The following is a 26,238-nucleotide window of genomic DNA, read 5'->3' on the forward strand; positions in this document are numbered from 1 at the left end:
TTCACTGGGCAGAGCACAGCCACCCTGGCCCTGCCTGAACATTTTAGTCAGTGTTGGCTGTGTGCTTCTCTGGGGAGGAAATCCCAGAGGCAACCCACAGCCCCTCTGCCATTGCAGCTGCAGCAATACCACCCTTATTGCCCTTGGGCTGCAGAAGGAACAAAGGGACCTGGTCACTTCCCTGATGCCTCCAGCACACAGCAGGGGATATATGGAAAGAATTTCAGTCTCTCTTCCCTGTGAGCTCCCACCTGCTACTCTTCACCAGGCAGGGCTCCTGGCTTGGGCCCACAGTGCAGGCACCTCACACTCAGCTGAACATTTCCACTGGCTGCTGTCTGTGTTTCTGTGGGGTGGAGCTCCTAGAGGCGACTGAAAGTCCATCTGCGACTGCCACTGCAGTGATACTGCCCTTGCTGTCTGTGGACTGGGGAAGGAATAAAGATCGTGAGTGCTTTATTCACACGCCAGCATGCCCCAGCCACCCTATGGAAAACAGGCCAGTGTATCTTCCCCGCATGCCCCTGATGCCCCACTCCTCACCAGGCAGGGCCCGCTGGCTTGGGCTCACAACACAGCCACCACACCCTGGGCTGATTCTTCCAATTGGCAGTAGCTCTAAGTTTCTCTGGAGTGGAGCCCCAAGGGACAGGCAAAATGTCCACTCCCACTCCCATTGCCACTGACAAAGTTCCTGCCCCTGCCGCCCCCAAGCTGTGGAGCGAACACAAAGCCTGAGCTTGCCCCAGGGCTGCGGTGCACAGCCCAAGAGTGCTAAGCTGAGATCTGCAGCCAGCACTCAAGTGGGAGAGGAGCTGGCATTCTCAGGGTACTGAGAGGGAGCATGGCTCCAAATGCGAGGAAATACAGAGGAGCCATGTGGCTGAGCAAGAGCCCACTCACAGGCCATTTAAGAGCCATCTGTGAGTTTGCAGCCCAAACTTTAAAATCAAAAATACTTTGTTAGTATACTCCCCCGTAAAACCATGGATGGAAACTTAGCCACAAATAAAGACCTTGCACACCACTTTGGCCCTCTGAAAACATCCAGAAATGAAGTCAACTGACTGTACTCAAATTACATCACAGTTAAAGGATCAGCCCACACAAATGAGAAAGAACCAGCACAAGAATAATGGCAACTCTAAAAGCCAAACTGTCTCCATATCTCCAAATGACCACACTAGCTCCCCAGCAATGGTTCCTAACCAGAAGGAAATGGCTGAAGTGACAGACATAGGAGTCAGAATCTGGGTGGCAACAAAGAGCATTGAGTGAGATGAAGGAGAAAGTTGAAACCCATCCCAAGGAATCTAAGGAGTGAGTAAAATGATTCAAGAGATGACAGACAAAAAAGCCATTTGAAGAAGAACCAAGCCTATCTGGTAGAGCTAAAAAATCTCACGGTAAGAATTTCATAGCACAATCAGAAGTTTTAACAGCAGAATAGACACAGCTGAGGAAAGAATCTCAGAGCTTGAATACCATTTTTCAAATTAACATTGTCAGACAAAAATAAAGAACAAAGAAGTGGCCAGGCGCGGGGGCTCACGCCTGTAATCCCAGCACTTTGGCAGGCCGAGGTGGGTGGATCACGAGGTCAAGAGATCGAGACCATCCTGGCCAACATGGTGAAACCCCATCTCTACTAAAAATACAAAAAAAAATTAGCGGGGCGTTGTGGCACCATGCCTGTAGTCCCAGCTACTTGGGAGGCTGAGGCAGGAGAATCACTTGAACCCAGGAGGTGGAGGTTGCAGTTAGCCGAGATCGTGCCACTATACTCCAGCCTGGTGACAGAGCGAGACTCCGTCTAAAAAAATAAATAAATAAAATAAAAAAGAAATGTAAAAAATGAACAAAGCCTCTGAGAAATATGGGGTTATGTAAAGAGACCAAATCTATGACTCATTGGTGTCTCTGAAGGGGAGAGAGAGTGAGCAACTTGGAAAACATATTTGAGGATATTGTCCATGAAAATTTCCCCAATATCACTAAAGAGGTCAACATACAAACACAGGAAATTCAGAGAACCTCAATGAGATAGTGTAAAAGACAACCGTCCTTAAGATACATATTCGAGGATGTAGTTTCATTTATGTCATGAATCTCATTTATCGATTTGTGTATGTTGAACCAACCTTGAATCCCAGGAATAAAACCTACTTTATTGTGGTGGATTCACTTTTTGATGTACTACTGAATTCAGTTTGCTAGTATTTTATTGAGGATTTTTGCATCTATGCTCATCAAGGATATTGGTTTGAAGTTTTCTTTGTTGTTTTGTCTCTACCAAGCTTTAGCATCAGAATGATGCTGGTGACCTCATAAAATGAGTTAGTTCTTCCTCTTCAGTTTTTTGGAATCGTTTCAGTAGTCTTGGTCCAAGCACTTCTTTATATGGCTGGTAGAATTTACATGTGAATTTGTCTGGTCCAAGGCTTTTTCTGGTTGGTAGGTTTTTTTTTTACTGATTCTGCAACTCAGTTCCTTTTTATTTATTTATTTATTTTTGAGACAGAGTCTTGCTCTGTCGCCCAGGCTGGAGTGAAGTGGCATGGTCTCGGTTCACTGAAACTTCCACCTCCCATGTTCAAGCGATTCTCCTGCCTCAGCCACCCAAGTAGCTGAAATTACAGATTGCACCACCACACCCAGCTAATTTTTTGTATTTTTGGTAGAGACGAAGTTCACCATGTTGGCCAGGCTGGTCTGAAACCCAGTTTTATGTGCTCCTGAAAAGAATGTGTCTTCTACAGTTGTTGGGTGGGGTGTTCTCTCAAGGTCATTTAGGTGAAGTTGGTTGCTGGTGTTCTTCTGTATCCTTACTGATTGTCTGTCTCCTCCTTCTGTATCCTTACTGATTGTCTGTCTTCTCCTTTATTGACTCCCAAGGGTGAATGGTGATGTGTCTAACTTTAACTGTAGATTAGTCTGTTTCTCTTTTAGATCATAACTCTGTTTTGTATATTTTGAACCCTATTGTTAGGCACATGTGTATTTATTTAGGATTGTTATGTCTTCTTGATGAAAGGACCCCTTTATCATTATGTAATGTTTCTTCTTATCTCTGGGAACATTCCTTGTTCTGAAGTTCTGAACTCTGTTTATGATGATATGAATACAGTCTTCACAGCTCTATTTTCACTAGTATTTGTTAGATATATCTTTTTCTCAGCTTTTAAATTGAGATGCTCAGACCATTTGCATTAAAGTAATTGCTAATAGGGTTGAATTTACATCTACCATCAAGTTACTTATTTCTCTTTGTCCCATTTAAACTTTGTTCCTTTTTTCATCTTTTTCTGCCTCATTTGGGTTAAGTGTTTTTATGATTGCCTTTTATCTCCACCATTTACTTATGAGTTAAATTAATATTTAACGGTTTTAATATTTTCCTCAATGTTTACAATATACATCTTTGATGTTTCACATTCCACCTTGAAATGATACTATTCCACCTTGAAATGATACTATTCTATAAGAACCTTACATCCTTGTGCTTCTAGTTTCTCCCTCCCAAAATGTTGTGCTATTGCTGTCTCTAACAGAGATCTATAACATCCACTTTGTTATAGATCTCACAATACATTAATTGTGTGACCATTAACTGAATGGTCAGTTGCATTTTAAAGTGATTATGAATAAACATATTTTAAATATTTCCTTCTTAATTTATTTTACCATTTCTGGTGCTCCTCATCTTTTGGGGTAGATCTCAATTTCCATCTGTTGTCAGATTCTTTCTGTGAAAAACAACCTTTAGCATTTCTTGTAGCACAGATCTGCTGCTGCTGAAGTTTCAGCTTTTGCATGTCAGAAGAAGTCTTTATTTTGCCTTCAGTTTTTAACGTAATTTTGCTGAATATAGATACTAGGTTGAGAGTTTCATTCCTTGCTTTAACGATGATATTCCATTATCTTCTGTTTTAAATGGTTTCTGACTAGAAATCTGGTATTTCTTCCTATGTATTCAACAGTTCCTTTTTCTGACTGTCTTTAAGATTTTCTTATCTTTGATTTTCAACAGTTTGACTCTGATGTGTTTATTACTAATTTTTGTTTTTATTCCGCTTGAGGTTTACTGAGCTCCTTGGATTTGTAGATTGTTGATTTTCATTGTCTTTGTAAAATTCATAGCCATTATCTGTTCAAATGTTTCTTTTTCCACTTCTCTCTGTATTTTCCTTTTTGGACTCTAAGTACCCCAGTGTTAGAACATCCATGTTGTTTCATTATTCCTATAAGCTTGTTCTGCTTTTTTTTTCAGTAACTATTTTTCTTTCTTTGTGTGTTGGTTTGGATGAGTTCTAGTAACATATGTACAAGTTTATGGATTATTTTGTCAGTTGTATCTAGTTGGCTCCTCAGCCCATTGAGTGAATTCTTCATCTCTGATATTACAATTTTCTTCCTAGCATTTTCATGTTACTCTTTTCTATAGTTTCCGTCTCTTCGCTGAAATTCTCTACCTATCCATGCATACTGTCCACTGTTACCACAAAATCCTTTAACATATTAACGTAAGTATCGTACAATTTCAATCTGATAGTTGTCAGATGGGGTCTTCTCTGAGTCTGGGTCTCTTGATTGCTTTATTATTCAACAGTGCCTTTTTCCCCCCTTGGATTTTTGGTGTGCCTTGTCATTCTTTAATCAATCACTAGACATTATAAATGGAAGAACAGTAGAGATTGCAGTAAGTATTATTTATACTTTGATATGGGCACCCTTCTTCTCTTGCAAATATACATTGTGGGTAATTGAGTCAATGTAGTCACTGGTTGAGCTGAATTTGGGATTTGGGTTTGCTACTTTTATCTTAAGTGCACCAAGGGTTTAAATTCCTCCAGTGATGGGCTACTATTAATATATTTTGCTTAGAGTGGGGCCTGGGATGTTGAGGAGTTTTCTCAGTGTTCCTAATCGATTCTCAGATTTCAGCAGTCACTGCATGCCTGCACTGCAGAGGAGATAGCTTCAGACACATAAACTAACCCTACAGATACTCTGCTGTTTCTTGTTACTGAATGCCCAGCTTTTGGTGGATGAAGGCAAATGCACTATCTCATGGAACAACTTCAGTCTTAGGCAAGCTGTGTACAAGTAGGCATTGAAAGGAGAGATTTCTCAGTGTTCTTGCCCCTCCTTCTCATGGAACTTGTATCTGTGGTGAGTTTAAAGAGGAAGAGTAGTAGACTTCTGCTTTGCTGCAATGCAAAATGCTGGGCACTAGAAAATTCCCCATCTCTCCACCAAGAGAATAAGATTTGGGCCTCTACCCATTCTTGAGAAGCAAAGGGTGGTTGCCTGCAGTCTTAGAGGCAGGACCATTTCCTGACCTATCCTCCAGAAGCTGAAAGAGTTTGGTCTTGTAGGAGCAGTGATATAGAAAAATTTGCAAGGGTTTCATGTCTGCCCCCCAAGACAGCCAATCACCACCTACAGCCTGCACAGCCTGATACATGGCACTCTGGTCTCCTGCCTTGTTCTCATGAACACCCAGAAGAGGTCTATGCAAAAGAGCATGTGCATGAGAGCCACTGTGACTGATAGGCACTCTCATCTGTTTTATGGTGTCCAGGTTTTAAAGAAAATCTCTCTAAGAACTCCTTAAGCTTCTAGAATGCTATGAATCTATTGTTTTTTTTTATTGGCATGTCCATCTACCTGCTAATATAGAACAGAGCATAGTTGGCATTCTCAGAGAAGACTGTCCTGTTTCTGTCACAGATTTCTTTCCATGCTTCTCTGTTCTCGAAATTACCCAGCTTGATTTCTTCTTTTTGAATTTCAGCACCGACGGAGCAAAGCCGCAGGGTCCAGGACTGCTACCATGGTGATGGATTGAGGATCATTCTCCACCACTGTCACAGGAAGGACATATCAGTCTTGGTCCTCTGTGACACCACACCAGCATCAGAGGACCACAGAATACTACCCAAATGGGTATATCTTCAAGTTTTACCCTAAGAGAAACAGCCACCCACTTACATTTCTCTTGGAAGAGCCATGCTTCCAGCTAACATTTTAAGACCAAATTTCTCTCTGACCTGGGGTGTTGGGCAGAATGTCTCAGGCTTCTTTCTTTGGGCACAGGGTCTGAGAGGAGAGAAATCTCAGGCTGGCTTTCTTTCCTAATAGTTTACAGAAGCAGCAGGCTGGTGAGGTCCCATGAACAGAAAGCTCAGGAGAACACATGACTACGTGCTTAGAAATAGTACCATTCCACAATGCCCACTAAAGACCAATGTGATCATTCAACCAGGGAATTCTGTCATTCTAATCTCCAAGCCCTGAAGTGAAGGTTGTGTTTGCCATTCTCATCTTGGGTCCCAAGTAAAGGATATCTATATTGACATCCAGATCTTCCAATCAGTTTCTCCTCTAACCTGTACAAACACACTGGGTCCTGAGCACAAGGTGTCTGAAGAGCTGTGTGTTGCCAGGACTTGAGGAGCAAAAGTAGGAAGGCTGCTGAGAGTTAGGAAATATAGAGATTCTGAAGAGTTACACATGCAGGAAGATGGACAGAAACCCATTTCTGACCATGCCAGGCTTTCTGCCATGAAGGATTAACAAATACATGGGAAAAGTGTTTTTACAGGTTGGACAATAGACATGATAGGCCTAAGAGAATTGAGAAAGGGAATCAAAGGAGATCAACCCCATCATTAGCCTGGCATTCTTCCTGGAGACCCTTGTTGGACGGAAGGGCAAGAAGATGGAGCCCAAGCCGACCATAGCAGTCTCGCTGAACTGAGGAGAGAGACTGAAGTTTGTGATGCCTCAGGCAGCTGAGGTGTTCTAGGCTGGCTAAGATTGAGAAGGGATTTATGGAGAAAGGAGATCCAGGAATATGTATAGAAGTCTCCTCAAGGCTTTGGCTAAATAGAAAGCTGCGTATGCACAGGGAGAGGTTCCACAAAGAAAGGAGGATAAAGGACAGCTACTGGGGAAACAACAACTGCAGGGGAACTGTGAGCTCAATGGAGATGCCAGAGCTCACATAGCACTGGGGGATATTTGAGTTCTGATCACTCTGAGAGAGACACCTCAATGAACAACTTGGGCATTCATTAGAAACCAAAGAAAGCCATATTGTGGGAGTAGGATCATTGTATTCCTAGAGTAAAGGCAACTCCAGAAACACTCAAGCAAACTTTTTTCCAAGCAACTATAAAAGGATCCAAATGATCTCCAAGTAAATTAACTGCCTTCCAGAAGAAAACTCAACCCTCCTTAGAGTTAAGGAACAAAGTCTAGTTGCTCAGTTATGTGGCTTCCTCTACAATATGTGACCTCAATTAAAGATTTACTAGACACACAGGAAGCATTTAGTGTGATCCATAACCAGGAGAAAAATCACTCAACACAAACAGACCCAGCAATGATAGAAATGACGGCATTGGCAAGAATATTTAAAATGTACCTATGAGAACTGTGTTCACGGATGTAAGGAAAACCTGACCATGAGAGAAACAATTGCAGAATATCAAGAGAAAGAAAAAGAATTAAAGAGCCAAATAGAAATTAAAGAACTGAGAAAAGGCAATCTGTAAGGAAGAACTCACTGGATGGCCTTATCATCACCTTAGACATTACAATAGTAAAAGTAAACTAGAAAATAATTCAATAGAAACTAGACAAACCACAGGATAGACACACTCTCTCTCTCTCTCTCTCTCTCTCTCACACACACACACACACACACACACACACAAAGACTGAACCAACTAATCAACAGAGCCTCAACGACATCTATGAAAACATCCAAACATTTCATATACATGTTAAGCATGTCACAGAAGGAGAGGAAAGAGATACTGTGACAGAAATTATACTTGAAGCCATGATGGCTGACAACTTTTCAAATATCCAGAAAACAAGAAACTGTCACAGAGTCAAGAAGCTCAATGACTCAGATATAGAATTCTAAAGAGGAAAAGTCTGTGCTCTACTGGAGTACATCATAGTTAAATTGTCCCAGTTCAAAGCTAAGAAGAAAAATCATTTCTAGAAGCCAGAGGAAGGAAAGAGCCTTTAATGTAGAGGAACAGTGACAGAAAAAGGCTGATGCCATCTCATCAGCAACAATGCAAGTCAGAAGCCATGGAATCACATCTTTAAAATGACAAAAGAGAAACAGAAGATCAACCTAGAACACTATGTCCAGAAAAAAAATCCCTTGAAAATGAATTTATACAAAGGAATATTCTGTACCTCCCCCAAAAAAACAAACAAAAATCTAAAAGCCCGTCTGATTGGCAGGTTCCCATAAGAAAACATGTTAAGGGCCAGGTGCATTGGCTCATGCCTGTAATCCTAGCACTTTGGGAGGCCAAGGCAGGTAGATCCCTTAAGGTCAGGAGTTCAAGACCAGCCTGGCCAACAGGGCAAAACCCAATCTCTACTAAAAATACAAAAAAATTAGCTGGGTGTGGTGGCGCATGCCTGTAATCCCAGCTACTTGGGAGGCTGAGGGAGGAGAATTGCTTAAACCCTGGAGGCGGAGGTTGCAGTGAGCCAAGATCACACCACTGTACTCCAGCATGGGCAACAAAGGGAGACTCCCTTTCAACAGAAAAAAAGAAAAAAAAAGGTGTTAAAGTCAGGCATGATAGCTCACGCCTGTAATCCTAGCATTTTGAGAGGTCGAGGTGGGCAGATCGCCTGAGGTCAAGAGTTCCAGACCAGCCTGGCCAGGCTGGTGGAACCCCATCTCTACTAAAAATACAAAAAATTAGTCAGGCGTGGTGACACATGCCTGTAATCCCAGCTACCCAGGAGGCTGAGGCAGGAGAATCACTGGAACCCGGGAGGCAGAGGCTACAGTGAGCTGAGATCGCAGCACTGCACTCCAGCCTGGGTGACAGAGCGAGACTCTGTTTCAAAAAAGAAAAAAAAAAGAAAAGGTCTTAAAGAAAGCTATTTAGGTAGAAGGAAAATAATACCAGGTAAAAACCTTAATCCATACTATGTAATGAAGAAGCCTGGAAATCGCAAATGTCAAGTTCAATGTAAAAGATTATATTCATCTAATTTATTAATGTCTTTGACAGATCGACTCATTGAAGCAAAATGATAGCAATGTATTTTTTTAACATATGTAAAGGTAAAAGTTTGAAAACAGTAGCATCAATAATGTTGGGAATCCATGGAACTATACCGTTGTATGTTTGTGATGTTATCCATGATGTTCGGTAATATTAATGTGTGGTTGAATGCAGTAGGTCCGAGAGGGATACTGTGAGTCCTAGAGCCACCACCAGCATTAAAACATAGAGGAATATATAATAATTAGACTATTCCATTATCCAAAAGAAGGAACGAAAGGAAGAGTACAGAATAAAGAAGATGAGGTCCAGGCAGAAAATGCATAGCATCCTGACCGACTGAAACTCAGCCCCCTCCTAAGTGAATTCCATGAAAAAGGATGACACACTGCATATGAAAGGCAGAGATAGTTGAGTAGAGTAAAAAGCAAAGCCCGCTGAGGTTCTTTTACAATCAGAGCCCTTTAAATGGAAAAGCTGGATGGAAAACCAAAGTATGGAAATGCTATACCTGGAACACGTGAAGCAGAGGAAAGCTGGAGTGGCAATGTCAAGATCAGACAAAGGAGATTTCAGGACAAGAAATAAGACCAAGATCAGAAGGACATTTCATGAGTGAAAAGGGTTCATCCATGAAGACGTACCAAGGCTAAATGTGTTGTACCCGAATAAGAGCCCATCTGATATATGAAGCAATGACTGACAGAACTCAAGAGAGAAATAGATAAGCCAATAATCGGAGTTAGAGGTGTCCTTGCTTCTCTTTCACTGTAGTTATAAATCTTCCCCAAACACAATAGACTAGAACAAATATGCAAAAAATCAGGCAAAATTCTATTATCCCCTTCACAAAATGTTGACCTACTAAACACTATGCCAAACTGCAGAATACACATTCAAGTGTGCATGGAGCATTCGCTGAGGTATACCTTACATGTGGCCTTTCAGCAAGTCTCCATAGACTTAAACGAATTAAAGAGTGTGTTTTCTGAACACAACAGAATGAAGTAATGTATGAATAAGGAAAAGTTTGCCGACTTCTCAAAGAATTGGACGTGAAAAGGCACATTTCAAAATATTCATTGAGACATAGAAGAAATCACCAAGGAATTTAGAAAAGCTGTGAACTGGATCAGAAAAGAACACAATCTATCCAAACTTGTAGGATGCAATGAATGTTTTTAGGGTTTTCTGTAATGTTAGATGCTCTTAGGAGAAAACAGACATGTAAAAATCAATGATTTCAGACTGCAGTTCTCAAAGTGTGGTCTGGAGAAACCTGAGGACCCTTGAGATACCTTCAGAGAGAGTCAATAAGGCTAAAACACTTTACATTGAGAAAACGAAGATTTATTGGCCCTTTTCACTTTCATATTCTAGCAGTGGTACAGTGGAGTTTTCCAGTGGCTCCATAATATGTAATGGCATCATCTCTCTGATGGCTAAGAAAATGGGTGATTATCAGTTTTTTGTGTTAAAGAATTTTCAGTTTTGGTTTCTTTCTTTTTTTTTTTTGAGACAGAGTCTCACTCTGTTGCCCAGGCTGGAGTGCAGTGGCATGATCTCAGCTCAATGCAGCCTCCACCTCCCCAGTTCAAGCGATTTTCCTGCCTCAGCCTCCGAGTAGCTGGGACTACAGGCACGTGCCACCATGCCTGGCTAATTTTCTGTATTTTTAGTAGAGATGGGGTTTCACCATGTTAGCCAGGATAGTCTCCATCTCCTGACCTCATGATCCACCCGCCTCAGCCTCCCAAAGTGCTGGGATTACAGGCATGAGCCACCACACCCAGCCCAGTTTTGGGTTTTTTTTTTTTTTTTTTTTTTTTTTTTTTAAGAGATGGAGTCTCGCTCTGTCGCCCAGGCTGGAGTGCAGTGGCATGATCTCGGCTCATTGCAAGCTCTGCCTCCCGAGTTCATGCCATTCTCCTGCCTCAGCCTCCCGAGTAGCTGGGACTACAGGTGCCCACCACCATGCCCGGCTAATTTTTTGTATTTTTAGTAGAGACCCAATTTCACTGTGTTAGCCAGGATGTTCTTGATCTCCTGACCTCATGATCCACCCACCTCGGCCTCCCAAAGTGCTGGGATTACAGGTGTGAGCCACCACATCCAGCCCCAGTTTTGGTTTCTAATGCAATAAATACTCGTCATGTATATTGAAAAATGAAAGCTCCTTAGGATCCCTGATACTTCGTAAGAGTCTCAAGGGGTCCTGTGAGCAAACACTTGACAGTTGTTGATCTAAGATCACAGCTTAAGTATCTAGACAAGGAAAAGCAAATAAGATTCAAGGAAAGTGAATGGAAGGAAATAATCCAAACTAATTACATCCAGTGGACAAGAAAATAGACCATCAAGGGAGTAAATCCATGAAACAGAAAGTTGGTTCTTTGAAAAGATCCATATGATTGTCCAAAATCTGGCTAAATAGATGACAGACCCAGGAGGGAGCACAACCATCGCCATTAGGAGTAACAGGAGAGGCACCATTGCTGTAGCATCCTCCAGGTCTGAAAGCTGAGAAGATATTGAGAACAACTGTATGTTATCAACTCAAGAACATAGATAATATGGACCAATTCCTTAGGAGAACAACAAATCAGCAAACTAGATGCCTAATAGATCACATAGTCCTGTAGAGAGACACAGAGAGCTAGAAGGAGGTACATTTGTATATGCATAAAACAATACAAGACACACCTCAAAGTCTTTCTCGGTTAATCTGGAGGAATGTATTTGGCAGAAGGTGGAAAGAGGGTATTCTGATCCTTTCTTTTACACATTGATGTTCTCTCTCAGTTTTCTTCTGGAGCATAGACGACTTTGGATGTGTTATAATAAGAATGATAATCTGTCTTTGAAATGTTCACAGTTGTTTTGAAGTTGAGGATTGTTTGTGCATGTTATGGGACCTTTAGTGAGAATATTTCAAAGTCGCTTGTTAACATTTTGTTACAGCAAAACATAGAGGGTGCCAGATGCCCTTGTATCTTCTCCCAACTCTTGTGACCTGTATTGTTTTGGAATTTGCAGCAGCCTGACCAGGAACAACTGCAAGAATCCAGATGCTGAGATTCACCCTTGGAGTTACACCATGGGTCCCAGTGTCAGGTGGGAGTACTGCAGCCTGATGCAATGCCTGGTGACAGAATCAAGTGTCCTCATGACTCCCACTGTGGTCCTAATTCCAAGCACAGAGACTCCTTTTGAACCAGGTAAGAAGTATGTGGCCAGACAATCACACCCTCGGACATTGGGATGAAAAAAGTTGCAAAATCTTAGTGATACAGAAGACTTCCAAGCGGCACGGGAAGTCGAATGTGTACTCAGGGTCAGCCAATGGGAAGGAAGCCTCAGCGCCTTCTCTGGGAGAACCAGAGCTGTGATGTTTGGCACCCCGTGAGAGGGTGGTGTCATTAGGAAGCATGCAGACCCTCCAGGGCGCTGGACTTACAACTCCCCTGGTTATTCAACAGATCATTTCAGTGTCCTAGCCAAAATGGATATTCTAACCTCCTGCCAAAGTTGTGATGATTAACCAAGCCCATCATAAGCCGTTCCTGGCATTTCTTCAACTGGGCAGCATTCGTTGCAATCTTCAGCTTTGCCGATTCGGAGGAATGCAGTTTCTGAGCCTGTCATCCTTGAGAAACCTAACACTACCTCCTTTGTTCCTCATTGTCTTGGGTCTACATAGTAGTGCATACCCAGCAAATGTTCCATCTTCTTAGCCTGCCTCCATCTTAGGCAGGCCCTGCACACCTAGGCTTTCAGGGGAGGAATTTCTCGGTATTCTTGCCCCGCCTTTTCACAGAAGTTGTATCTGTGTTAGTCTTTGAGAAGAAAAGTAGTGGACATCTGCTTTGTTGCAATGCAGGATCCTGGGCCCAAGATTCCCTGTCTCTCCTCCAAGGGAATAAAATTTGGGCCTGTACCTCTCACTGAGAGACAATGTGTGTTTGCCTGCAAGTCCTAGATGCAGGACCATTTCCTGCCCCATCCCCCAGAAGCTGAAGGCTTTGGCTTTGGAGGAGCAGTGGTCTAGGCAAGTAGGCCAGGGTTTCATGTCTGCCCCCCACTGACAGCCAGTCTCACCACCTACAGCCTGTACAGCCTGATGCATGCCACACTGGTCTCCTGCCTTTTTCTCATGAACACCCAGAGGAGGTCTATGCAAAAGAGCATGCACATGAGTGCAATTTTGAATTATAGGTACTCTAATATGTTTTTCATTCCCTGATTTTAATTGAAATATTTATGACAACTTACTAAATTTCTAGAATCCTTTGCATCTATTGGTTTTTTTATTTTACATTTTGATTTGTGTGCTAATATAGAAGCGTGAAAAGTGCTAATCCTCAGATTATTCTGCTTCATGTGTCATAAATTTTTTCACATTTCTTTTTTTGTAGACAATACTGAGCTTGATTTCTTCTTTTTAAATTTCAGCACCAGCTGAGCAAAGTCCTGCAGTCCAGGAGTGCTACCAAGGTGATGAACAGAGCTATTGAGGCAATTTTTCACCATATCACAGGAAGAACATGTCAGTCTTGGTCCTCTATGACCCCACACTGGCACCGGTGGATTTTACTGCACTATCCAAAAGCGTATTTCTATCATGTTAGCCATAAGAGGGACAATAGTCAACTAAAATTTCTCTTAGCTGACCCATTCTTCAAGCTAACTTTCCAAGTGATCTCACAATAAATTAGTTGCCCGCCAGAAGAAAACCTGTTTAGAGGTAAACAACAAAATCAAATTGCTCATTTATGTGGTATCCACAATGTGTGATATAAATTTAAAAATTTGCTAGACATACAAAAAGCATTAGTGTGATCCATAACCAGGAGAAAAACCAGTCAACACGAATAGACCCAGAAATGATAAAAATAATGGAATTGGCAAGGAGACTTAAAATGTATGTATAATAATTGTGTTCAAAGATTTAAAGCAAACATGAACAAGAAATGAATAAATGAACAATATCAAGAGAAAGAAAAATTATAAAAGGGCCAAATCAAAAGTAAAGAACTAAAAAAAAGGCATCTCTGTAATGAGAAAAATCACTAGATGGCCTTAAAGATAAAGCTAGCTAGAAAACATTAGGTTAGTGCAAACCACAGCACACACACACAAAGCCTGAGAAGATAAATAAACAGAGCTTTAAGGACATCTATGAAAATATCAAAACATTTAGTATATGTTTAAAGCAAGTCACAGAGGAGAGGAAAGAGATATTGGAACAGAAAAAGTACTTGAAGCAGTGATGGCTGAGGACTTTCTAACCATGGAGAGAATGACAAATTCACATAGTCAAGAAGCTCAGTGGATCAGATATAGAATTTTAAAAAGAAGAACTATGATTTATTTGACACATTATAGTTAAATTGTCCATAATCAAAGATAAAAAGTAGAATCTTATTTGAAGCCTGAGGGAAAAAACATACCTTTATATAGAGTAACATGACACAAATGAGTGATGCCACATTTGTTTGTTATTTCAAGCTTCCGAACAGGCAGTGCTGTTCTCATCCCTGGTGTACAAGGAGGGAGCTGAGGCCTTCCACAGGTTTTGTGCCTAACCAGGGGTGCAGCTGGTAGACACAACCCATTCAGGTCTTAGGTTGCAAACTTAAGCTATGTGTACACGTTAGCATATCCACCTCCAATACCAAACTGTGTCGAAATTATAACATAAGTGAAAATATTTTATTATCTTCAAAATTTCTTTATTCCCAGAAAACTCATGTTTTCTGTAATTATACATTGTTATAAAATATTAATCTTTCCCCCAAATGACTTTATGGTGCATTATTATATTCTCATTCTCACAAAATAAAGCAAGAGTGGTAGCATTAAGTGGGAAGTGTCCATCTTAATTTTAATTGTTGAATCTTTACTTTTCCCTGGTGTAAGGCTAGAGCAACCAGGTAGTATATATGCTTTAAAACTTCTATTTTAGTGTTCAAAGATATTTAGGAATAAATCAATTGACCTTTCTATTTTAGGTGTGAAATAAGGACCAGAAAGCATCATTCCTCTTTCCAGGCAGTGAAATTCCTTCCTATTCATTAACTGGCAAAAGAGTAGAGGTGGGAGCCCAGTGGTCTTGGGTGGAACGTCCTGCGGAATTCCCTGGGATTGAGGAACCATGCAGAACCCTCAAGAAGAAACCACGCTGGGCAACAAGAGAGCGGCCCCAGGTGAGGGATGGGGCGACCTAATCGCTTTTCCTGATTTCCTGTTTTAGCCTCACTCTCTTCTCTCCTCAAATTCTTACCACTCCCTTTATCCTTTCTGACTCACCTCGTGGTCCAGTTCATTAAAGGGGACAGAAGGTGGATGCAAGTTGAGAAACCAGCAGTGGGCAGACGTTTTATTTTTAATGTGATGTATTTCTTAGAGGGCTAAGGTTGGTGTGTTTGAGAAAGTACTTTGGGAAAAAAAAAAACAGACTCAACTAACATATAATGTTTCTAGTATGTGTTCATTTCAACTTAAAATATTATTTTAGCAGTTCCCTGGATAAGGCACCTCAGGAATGATGTTATCAGAAATTCTATATCCACATTATTTTCTTTTTCTTTTTTTTTTTTTTTTTGTCATTTTGGTTTTGACTTGGGTGGTGTTGGTATAGCTTTTGCCCAACTTTCCCCTGGTAGTTGTTGGATGCACTCAATTCTACAAATGTGATTTTATAAATTAGTTGCCCTCTCAATGGCCTCCTGGCTGTACATTCTTCCCTACCTTCATAATCCATCAGCATCGTGAAAGCACAGAGGGACGTTGAGCAGAGCTCTGTGCTGGCGCCACCGCACTCTGTAGCCTGTAAGAGAGCAGCAAAGAGGAATGTGTTGCTCAGGTATAGACAGGTGTGGGTGCATAGAAACTTCCGCTATGGCATGGCCCTTCATGTCCAGGGTAGGCATGAAACAATGGACTATTCCAGATTGTGCATAGGAAACCACACTGCACTCTTAGAGGGATTTTTGCTCTAAAGACAACTAATTCAAAATAAGGCGCTTTCCTACCTGAAAGAACGGCATGAACTGAGAAAAGAGATACATATATAGAGATATCTCTGTGTACTACGATCAGGTTGCACATATTCTGAGATTTATGTATTCTTATTAGTTCAATTCCTTATTTATTGACCACTTACTGTGTACAATATTGTATTAGATTCTTTTAGGATTACAGTTGACCCTTGATCAATTTCGGGGGTTGGCACACTGACCATACACAGTAGAAAATCCAGGTATAACTCTGACTCTCAAAAACTTAACTACTAACAGCCTGCTGTTGACCAGCAACAGTTAATAACATGTATTTTGTATGTTATATGTAAGATATACTGTATTCTTACAATAAAGTAAGCTAGAGAAAAGGAAACGTTTGTAAGAAAATCATAAGGAAGAGAAAATACATCTACAGTACTGTTCTGTATTTATCTGTACATTAAGTTTACACTGCCTGTTTACAAGATGAATTGTCTGTCTGAAATGGAAGCAACCCCAGCTGCAGACCTGCCTCCAGTACGTATCAAGCAATTCAACTTTCTCTTGTAATGTCACGACTTTTCTCTGCTTCTTGGGAGCACTTCCAGCATCACTAGTGCCACTTCATATGGATCCCATGGTGTTATTCAAGGTTTACAGTACTGCACAAAACAGGAGGAAAAATACATGCCAACAGGGAGAGGGCACTTTTTACCGTGGTGCACAATTCACTTGAGACAAACTGCTCAAGTCGGGATGTTCAGCATCACAGAACGTTTTAGGTGGATACTCGCAACACCTGAGCTCATTGCAACAGCAACAGGAGGAGGCTACGAAATTATTACAGAGGTGCAGTGTGCACTATGGTTAAGTTTATGCAGTTACAATTTTTTTTTTTTTTTTTTTAGACAGAGTCCAGCTCTGTCGCCCAGGCTGGAGTATAGTGGCGCAATCTCAGCTCACTGCAACCTCTGCCTCCTGGGTTCAAGCAATTCTCCTGCCTCAACCTCTGGAGTAGCTGGGATTACAAGCACTTATCACCACGTCCAGCAAATGTTTGTATTTTTAGTAGAGATGGGGTTTCACCATGTTGGCTATGCTGGTCTCAAGCACCTGACCTCAAGTGATCCACCTGCCTCAGCCCCTCAAAGTGCTGGGATTACAGGCGTAAGCCACTGTACCCAGCCAATGCAGTTACAATTTAATCCTTCATCTTTATGTTTGTTTACACTTCTCTCGACTGAGAATAGCACAGCGTATGATCTGTGAGTGTGTGCATAAGTTTTGATTACTTTTAACTTTTTGTAATAGTTTTGTGTATATTTAATGGTAGTAAATGATAGACTAAGTATCTAAATACACTTTATGCATTCATGACATACATAACTTTCTCTTTATTTTTTCAATATGTCTAGCTACATGGTTTGTCTTTGAGTATTTTTCAAATTGCAACAAAACTCCAAAACATTTCAGATCTGTGTTGTTCAAGGATCAACTATACATCTAAAAAGTACAAATCAGTCTCTACCCTTCCCCAGCCTCTCTACCCTAAAGAAACTACAGGAAACTTTCACGCACCAGATTTGTGGAGATTCTGCTGCTGCACTTGTAGGAGGCATAAGAATATTCAAATAAGATTGGAGACAAATTGAATTTCCTTAGCTCTGCCCAGCATGAGGCCTGCAATCAAGATTCACTGAGGTCCTGTTATGAAAGAATGGATGTCTCTTACAACATTAAAATGGTACATTCCTTGCAAGTATTTACAAAGAAAGTCATAAACACTGCTGGGCGTGGAGGCTCATGCCTGTAATCCCAGCACTTTGGGAGGCGGAGACAGATAGATCACCTCAGGTCAGGAGTTTGAGACCAGCCTGGCCAACATGACAAAACCCCATCTCTATTAAAATACAAAAATTAGCCAGGTATGGTGGCACACACCTGTAATCCCAGCTACGCAGGAGGCTGAGGCAAGAGAATCACTTGAACCTAGGAGATGGAGGTTGCAGTGAGCCAAAATTGTGCCACTGCACTACAGCCTGAGTGACAGAGCAAGACCTGGAAAAAAAGAAAGAAGGAAGGAAGGAAGGAGAGAGAGAGAGAAAGAAAGAAAGAGAAGAAAAGAAAGATGAAGAAAGGAAGGAATGAAGGAAGGAAGGAGAGAGAAAGAAAGAAAGAAGAAAGAAAGAAAGAAGAGAAAGAAAGAAGAAAGGAAGGAAGAAAGAAGAGAAAGAAAGGAAGGAAGAAAGAAAGGAAAGAAAGAAAGAAAGAAAGAAAGAAAGAAAGAAAGAAAGAAAGAAAGAAAGAAAGAAAGAAAGGAAGGAAGAAAGAAGAAAGAAAGAGTCATAAATACAAGGAAAGGTCAACCTCACCAGGAGGTGAGGTGGAGTTCACCCTTCTGTCGCACCTGAAGTGGAAACTGCAGCCAGGTCACAACTTCCTAGGTGACGCACGTCCGTGCAGGCTGGACTGCATTGCTGGCCTGACATTTGCACCTGCCAGCTCCTTGCCACACCCACGTTCCACCTTCCTCAAGCCCAGGCTCTGCTACCTGGGAACTGCCATTCCAGGCCAGCTCGTTTCATCACCATGAACATCTCTGAATAGCCCCAAGAGGACAGTATCATTTCCAAATGAAAACAGCAAGAACTTAATTAACCTATTAATTAATCTATTAAGGACTCATACAAAGCATCCCTCTGACACCATAAGGGATTTATGCAAGTTTATCTGTGTCCTCAATGCCAATGTGCAGATTGTTTTTATGGCTGTTTCAGTGTATTAGGGCATATCAGCGAGGAGACTTGTACTAATTAACCTGGAGGTGGCCCTTCTTTCTTTAGTTGCCCTTTTCCACATATTAGCCTTTGTTCATCAGTCCCTGGGGCCATGTGATGAGACGCTTATCAGCTCTCATGTCTGGTAAAGAGATAGCTGGCTCAGTTAGCACAGTGGTTAAAATGTAATCCACTAGGGGACACTTTCTTTTTCTTTCTCTTTTTTTTTTTTTTTGGAGATGGGCTGGCTTTGTCACCCAGGCTGTCTTTGTCACCCATGCTGGAGTGTTTGTCACCCAGGCTGTCTTTGTCACCCATGCTGGAGTGTTTGTCACCCAGGCTGTCTTTGTCACCCATGCTGGAGTGCAGTGGCACAAACACAGCTCACTGCAGCCTTAACCTCCTGGGCTCAAGTGATCCTCCCACTTCAGACTCCAGAATAGCTGGGACCACAGGCACATGCCACCATACCCAGCTGTGTGTGTGTGTGTGTGTGTGTGTGTGTGTGTGTGTGTGTGTGTGTGTGTGTGTTTATTTTCTGTAGAGACAGTGTTTTGCCATGTAATCCAGGCTGGTCTTGAACTCCCAGGCTTGAGGTATCCTCCCACCTCAGCCTTCCAAAGTGCTGGGATCCCAGGTGTGAGGCACTTTGCCTGGCACTAGAGGACACTTTTTAAGTGAGCCCTGACTAATTTGAGGCTCAGTGAAGTGATATATTTTTAATTGAGTTGTGCTTGAAAAAGTCTAGATACCTATTCATCTTTGAAAAAAATAATTTTCATTGGCCATCTCCTCATCAGACGTGTTACATGCTTAAGACAAATATTAGCAGAGAAGAAGATACTCAGTCCCAGATAACTTAGTAGCCTGCACTGAGGCGGCACCAGGACTCACCAGAGGAGAAACCAGGGTCCTTCTGCCCTAAGTTCCAGACCCACCATGAATAAAACAGAGATGCACCCAATCATCCTTCCCATCTCTCACATTCACTGATCTCTCAGCTCATTCAGAAAAAAATCCCATCTCACACTATGTGGAGGAGACCAGTCATGCAGAAAACATTTAAATCTTTTCAGAAAAGCAAATGAGTGCACACACAAAAATGATGAAATCTGAGCAAGGTCTCAGGACTAGTTTCTGACATTGTGCCAATGGCAACTTCCTGGTTTTAATCATGAACTATAGTTACATAAGATATTGCCTGGGGAAGGTGGGGCAACAGGTACAGGGACCTCTCAGTACTATATTTATAACTCCTTGTGTTTATAATTATTTCAAAACAAAAATTATGTATTTGGATGTATGTGTATATGTATGTATTTGCATTTATATGTGCCTATATTTAGATACATGTGCCTATTTTTGGAGGACCTAGGATGATGTAACTGCTTCCATACTAGTTAAGAGAATTCCCAATGTCCAGGGAGAGTCCACAGTAAAAGAACTTCTAACTCAGGGTGTGGAACTCAGCCTTCGGCTGATTCTCGTGAGCTCAGAGGACACATGGGTGGGACAGAGAGGCCTCTCCACCACCACACTCCTTCCCTGGCTGGAGGCCAGATGGTTAAGGACTGATGGGTGCCAGAGAGCAGCAGCCCCCCAGAGTCCAGAACCCAGAGACTGGAGGAGTCCATGCCTGCTCCTGCCTCCCAGGTATTCAAGGGAGACCCACCATCTCCACACATCAGCAAAACAGAGGCCCTGAGTAATGACTTCGCCTTCCTCCTCTCCTCCTGCAGCCTGACCAGCTCCTGGGTGCTGCAATCCATAGCTGGGGAGGAGAGAAGGGAATGTCAGTGGAAACCACTTTTGCTATAAACGCTCATCCTTCAGATATTATTTCAGTGGGTACAGTGTTTAGTGCTGTGCTGGGTGCTGGGGAATCAAGAGTAAATAAGGGGCCCCCTCTGCCCTCAGGGAGTTTTTGGTCTCATGGGTTTGGGGCAATGCAGGTCTGTAAACTGGAATTGTAAAAGTGAAGTGGCCCAGGTCCCATTTGTTATAGTTGTGCACAGAGAGACAGTCTTTAGAGGTGAGGAGACACTTCCCAGAGGAAGTGACACCCAAGTTGAAACTTAGAAGACAGCCAGAGGGATGAGAAAGGAGAAGAATTCCGAGGAGTCCTAATTAGGCAAAAGGAGTCAGGCTGGTGGGACTGAGGGAAAACAGAAAGAGTAAGCAGATGAGCTGTAAGTCTGCCTTCCTTCATGGTCCAGGACCATAGCCCTCCTGCACAAATAACTCACAATCTTCCTGTGCCCAGCTATCACCAGGCCCTCAGCTGATAGAAAAATGCAGGTTATCCCACTGCAACCTTGGCGTTGTCAGTACCACACAAAGCCCTCTTCAGCACAGTACTGCACAAAGCCCTCTTCAGCACGCAATACAAGCAACATCCTATAAAACCCCCAGCAAGCCTTTGTCTCTTGGCAGTCAGCTCCTCTCTTGCTGGCCTGCCCGTTGCTCCCTTGCAACATATTTTTATACTTTCTTTAATAAATCTGCCTTTCTTTATCTACAACTGTCTTGGTAAATTCTTCTTACTGCCCATGGGATACTGGCCTCAGATAGTTACTGATCAGCAGCTACACATTCCCTAAGCAGAAGAAATACATATGCAGGGTCCCAGAGGCAGGAGGTGCAGACAGATCAGAGGAATTTGGCTAATATGGGAAAATGGTCCAACTGTCCAGGCCTCTCACTCTGTTTCAAGAAGCTTAGACTTCAACCAAAAAAAGGCAGGGACTACTGTTACTGAAGACTTTTAAAATCCAAGGGTGGCCTGATCCCTCTGATTGTAGCATGATGAGGAGATTAGAAGAAGCACAGGGTAGGAGGTGAGAGATGAAAGGGGCTGAAGGAAGGCAGTGGAGAAAGAGAAAAGGGAATGGATTAGGGGGATGTTGAGAAAGTAGAATTGACATGATTTTGTGACTGATTGAAGTGGGGAATGAAATCAAGGATGCTGCCTGAATTTCTGTCTTGAACATCTGGTGGATAGTGACATCATTCATTAAGAAGGAACACATAGGAGCAAATAAGATGAATTTCTCTGGGGACAATGTTATGTTTGGGAACTTGTGAAATCCCAAGTGGAAATTTCCATAAAGGTGTTGGATATCCTGATGTAGAGGAGGGGGTTGGCAAACTACAGCCCATGGGGCAGCCCCTATTTTAAAAAATAAAGTTTTATTTACAGCCACACCCATTCTTTTACCATTGTCTGTAGCTACATTTGCCCTACCTTAGCAGAGTTGAGCAGATGTGACAGAGATGGTACAATGACGATAAAATATTTGCTATCTTTCGCTTTACAGAAAAACTTTGCCAATTCCTGGTCTAGAGCCTAGGAAAGAGGTCTGAGCTGGAGATGTGGAATCTGCAGTTTTCAGCAGGTAGGTGGGATTGAAGCAATGGGGGTGGATGAGCTTGCCCAGAGAGAGAAAAAGAAGCCCTGCGGTAAATCCCTCAACAACACAAGGACCCAGAAGAAGAGAATTCTGTAGAAATGACTGAGAACAGTTAGCCAGAGGGGAAAGTTGACAGTGTAAGTCCAGAGAAGTCAGCGAAAGTGAAAATTGTAAAAAGGTGGGAGTGGTGGTGGGTACCAAAGACTTGTGAGAAATAAAGTGAGATATACCCCGTGTGTGCCAGCAGGTAAGGGCAAATGAGCCCAACATAACTGTAATAATAACAATCTAATGGCCCAAGCTCCTGGCAAAGCCTACTCTGGCTACTGCTACAACCAAATATATACAAAACTCAGTAAAATAGCATATTTTAATTAAACAAATTCCTGACCCATATCTGTAATACTCTTTTCCCAACATTTTTGGCCATGTATTCTTTGGTTGCTTTTTCAATAATGTTGTAATATCATATTCTATGAGAGAAGAATAATAATCCATTTTGCCTCTAGTATTTTATTATTGATGGATTTAAATTTGTCTTTCAGCTGCATAACTCATGACTGATAATGAAAGATAAGTTTTCAGGATTCTTGGCAAATTTAGGAAAACCTCCACCAAACTATTTTTGTGTAGGAGCTGTAAGATTTGGAATAATTCCCAGAGGGGAGGAGCTAGAGCTAGACTTTTTTCTAGCTTTGTACATTTCTATTGTTCTTATTTAACTTTTATTTTAAGTTCAGCAGTAGAAGTCCAAGTTTGTTACATATGTAAACTTTTGACATGGGGGTTTGTTGTACAGATTTCATCACCCAAGTATTAAGCCTAGTACTCATTAATTATTTTTTCTGATGCTTTCCCTCCTGCCACACTCTGCCCGCCAATAGGCCCCAGTGTGTGTTGTTCCCTTCTATGTGTCCATGTGTTCTCATCATTTTGCTCCCACTTATAAGTGAGAACATGTGATATTTGGTTTTCTGTTCCTGTGTTAGTTTGCTAAGGATAATGGCCTCCAGCTCCATCCATGTCCCTGCAAATCCACATGTCATATGACACAATCATGCATATTTACATTACACCACCACGTAAGTCAGCACAAGGGAGGCTAAGACTATTCTGAAAGCCATTTTACAAATGTACACAGAAGTGACTCCATACCACATAAATAAATCCCATGGAACCCAAACTCAATGACTCAACTCAATTCCTCTTTTCCTGGATCCCAAAAATGCCCACATCCACTCGACCACTCAACATGAAGAGGTGGAGAGCAAGTCAGGGCAGAAAGAGATCAGAATTTTAGCCAATTACAGTTAAAATGTCTGCTTTTGCAAACTTGACCAAAGTAAATGACCAAATGGACACATTGCCAGGGCCCTTCCAGAGCCTCAGAAGGGGCCTGTTGAAGTTGTCTATCGCTACCCTGTTGAAGTTGTATATTGCTATGGGATGAATCATCCCAAAATATAGTGGCTTAAAATAAGAATTGTTTTATTTATCTCACAGTTCTGGAGGTCCGCTGGGCTTGGCCAGGTGATTCTCTTCCTTGAAGTATCTCAAGAGGATACAGTCGGATGGTGGCTAGGGCTGAAACCATTTCAAAGCCTTCCTCACTCACATCTCATGGGTGAACCCAGCTGTCGCTGGAGCCTCATCTGGGACTATTGGCCAAAACACTCAGAGCTTTTCCATGTGTCTGGGCTTCCTAGCAGAATGGCAGTTGGTTTCCAAGAGAATTGGGCTGAAGCTAATTCTCCTTTATAGTCTAGCCTGGAAATCCTCAAGCATCATCCGCATCAGAGTCACAAGCCTGCCCAGATTCTAGGGAAGAACACATAGACCCCACCTTTCCATAAGAGGCATATGGACCTCACCCTGTAAGAAGGAGTACATGTGGCTGCCATCTTGAAAAATACAATCTGCCATTGGATTCATGCAAGGAAGGGGCCCTGAGGCTGAGCATTACTAGCTTCCCTGTACATTGGTCTCTATTTACTCTTGTTCTATAATTCATACCCTTCCAAAGCTTGCCAAAACTGCCCCCCTAAAATCCCTCCGTCTCCCACCTTGACACAGATGAAATCCTTGAACTTTGTTGCCCAAATAGCTTCAAGAACATCTGTGTCTACTGAAGGTTGAGCCAGAGCTTAGTCTTCTCCCACTGGCCAGTGGGGTCAGTGGTGGCATGAACCCCCAATATCACTGTCTCTTTGTTAGGTAAAACAACTTGTATATTTATGGCAGGTGGTACCAGAGCAATAAGCTGTGGCTGCCACTGCACACAGCAAGTTAGGCTTCTGCTAATTCAGAGGATAGCCCCTCATCATGTTCAGTCGGGGGTGTAATCACACGCAGATTTTTTGGGACTCAAAAGTGTTGCAATCTTTAATTGCCATAAACCTTCAATCCTTCCACAAAGCATGCTGAAGGATGAGCTTTTTGGCACTGTGGTTGCAGGGTTGGCATGGATTTTTGGCATTCGTCCCACCTCCTATCTCAAACCAGTAGTCCCTCCAACCTGACATCATGGTGTTGGGGGAGACCTCTGAGTGCTTGGCACAGCCAGCCATATGGTATGGAGCCACTTCTGTGGCTGTACCACCATCTGACAGTAAGCTCACGAGAGACCCCAAGGGAGAGAACTGCCTGGTCACGCACAGCCAACCTCCTTTTCCCCTTAATGGAACATTCTCTCAGGAAGCCTGGCTGTTTCTAACAAATTGATCTTGGCCCAGAGCCATCCCAATTTGTACAAGATTTTATATCCCTGCACCTCAATAGTCATGAGAGAGCTGGCTTCTCAGTATTTTTCTCCCAGGCAGACTGCTCTGGCCCACCAGGTGAATCAGTAGCTGTGTTTAGATGGTTAGGAGGTTCCTTCCAAGTTTAAAACAGTATCTAAGCCTCAACTGTAAATCAATTGGAGAGACTCCCCAACCCTGATCACCAGCACTGTCAGAGCTCCAGTCCCCACTCTACCAAGATGTCCTTTTAGAAAGATAAGGACTAAAAAATGCTCACTGAGCTTGGTGATGACAGTCAGTAGAGGGGTAGGAAGAGAAGCCATGCCATATGTCTCAGCCCGTTTGTGCTGCTGTAACAAAGAGTCACAGTCCTTTATGGATTACCCAGATTACAGCTTGGGTAACCCATATGGGACAGAAATGTATCATCTCACAGTTTTAGAGGCTTCAAAGCCCCCAATCAAGGTGCCAGTTATTACAGTGTCCTCACATGGCAGAAGGCAGAGGGTAAGAGGATAAACATTGTGTCTTCACACAGCGGGACAGTGAAAGAGCCTGAACCCACTCCCACAAGCTCACTTAAAAACAGCATTAATCAGCCTAAATTACCAAAAGTCCCCGTCTCCCAACACTGTTGCATGAGGGATTAAGTTTGTACCATGTCAGGCAGGGCACACTGTAATCCCGTACTTTGGGAGGCTGAGAGAGTGGATCCCTTGAGCTCAGGAGTTTGAGACCAGCCTGGGCAACATGGGGAAACCCTGTCTCTACCAAAAATACAAAAATTAGCTGAGTGTGGTAGCACACACCTGTAGTCCCAGCTATTTGGGAGGCTGAGGTGGGAGGATCACCTGAGACCAGGAGGTCGAGGCTGCAGTGAGTCAAGATTGCACCACTGCATGCCAGCCTGGGCCATAGAGTGAGACCCGGTCTCAAAAAAAAAAAAAATAGTTTGTAAGACGTGAATTTTGAGGGACACATTCAGACCACAGCGTCACAGCTGAAGAATCAGTGGGAGACAAAATGGAAACAGTACATTAGGATAACTCTGAAGAAATGTGTCTGCGATGAAGTCAAAAGAGAAGGAGCTGGAGGCCCCGGGAGTGCAGACGGCATTTCAGTGCTCACAGGAGAGCGTCCGTAGATGGCGAGGACAGAGAAGGGGTTACCAGGGGTGAGTTCCTGAGGAGAGCAGGGCTGTCACTCGAGGAAAGGTAGTCCTGCGGGGAAAGGAGAAAGGAGTTGGGCGGCGA

The 26,238-nt window shown here is 42.5% G+C and overlaps 2 long non-coding RNA genes across 5 annotated transcripts in view; one reads left to right on the forward strand and one right to left on the reverse strand.

The window, feature by feature from the left end:
* LOC105378093 (uncharacterized) lies at positions 1–26,237 on the reverse strand. Of its 2 annotated transcripts, none has more exons than XR_943196.1 (3): positions 26,155–26,237; positions 15,807–15,885; positions 1–427 (listed from the first exon to the last, which is right to left on the reverse strand). It is a non-coding gene; the product is annotated as an uncharacterized LOC105378093 (long non-coding RNA). The 2 variants fall into 2 exon arrangements; XR_943195.1 differs by lacking the exon at positions 26,155–26,237 and adding an exon at positions 17,636–17,743.
* The window catches only part of LOC102724087 (uncharacterized), a 55,176-nt gene continuing 55,003 nt past the window's right edge, over positions 26,066–26,238 (forward strand). For all 3 annotated transcript variants that reach the window (NR_187755.1, NR_187756.1, NR_187757.1), the window contains exon 1: positions 26,066–26,159. This is a non-coding gene — a long non-coding RNA (uncharacterized LOC102724087). The remainder of the gene's footprint in view (positions 26,160–26,238) is intronic.

Source organism: Homo sapiens, chromosome 6 (genome assembly GCF_000001405.40).
Source record: "Homo sapiens chromosome 6, GRCh38.p14 Primary Assembly".
NCBI lineage: Eukaryota > Metazoa > Chordata > Mammalia > Primates > Hominidae > Homo > Homo sapiens.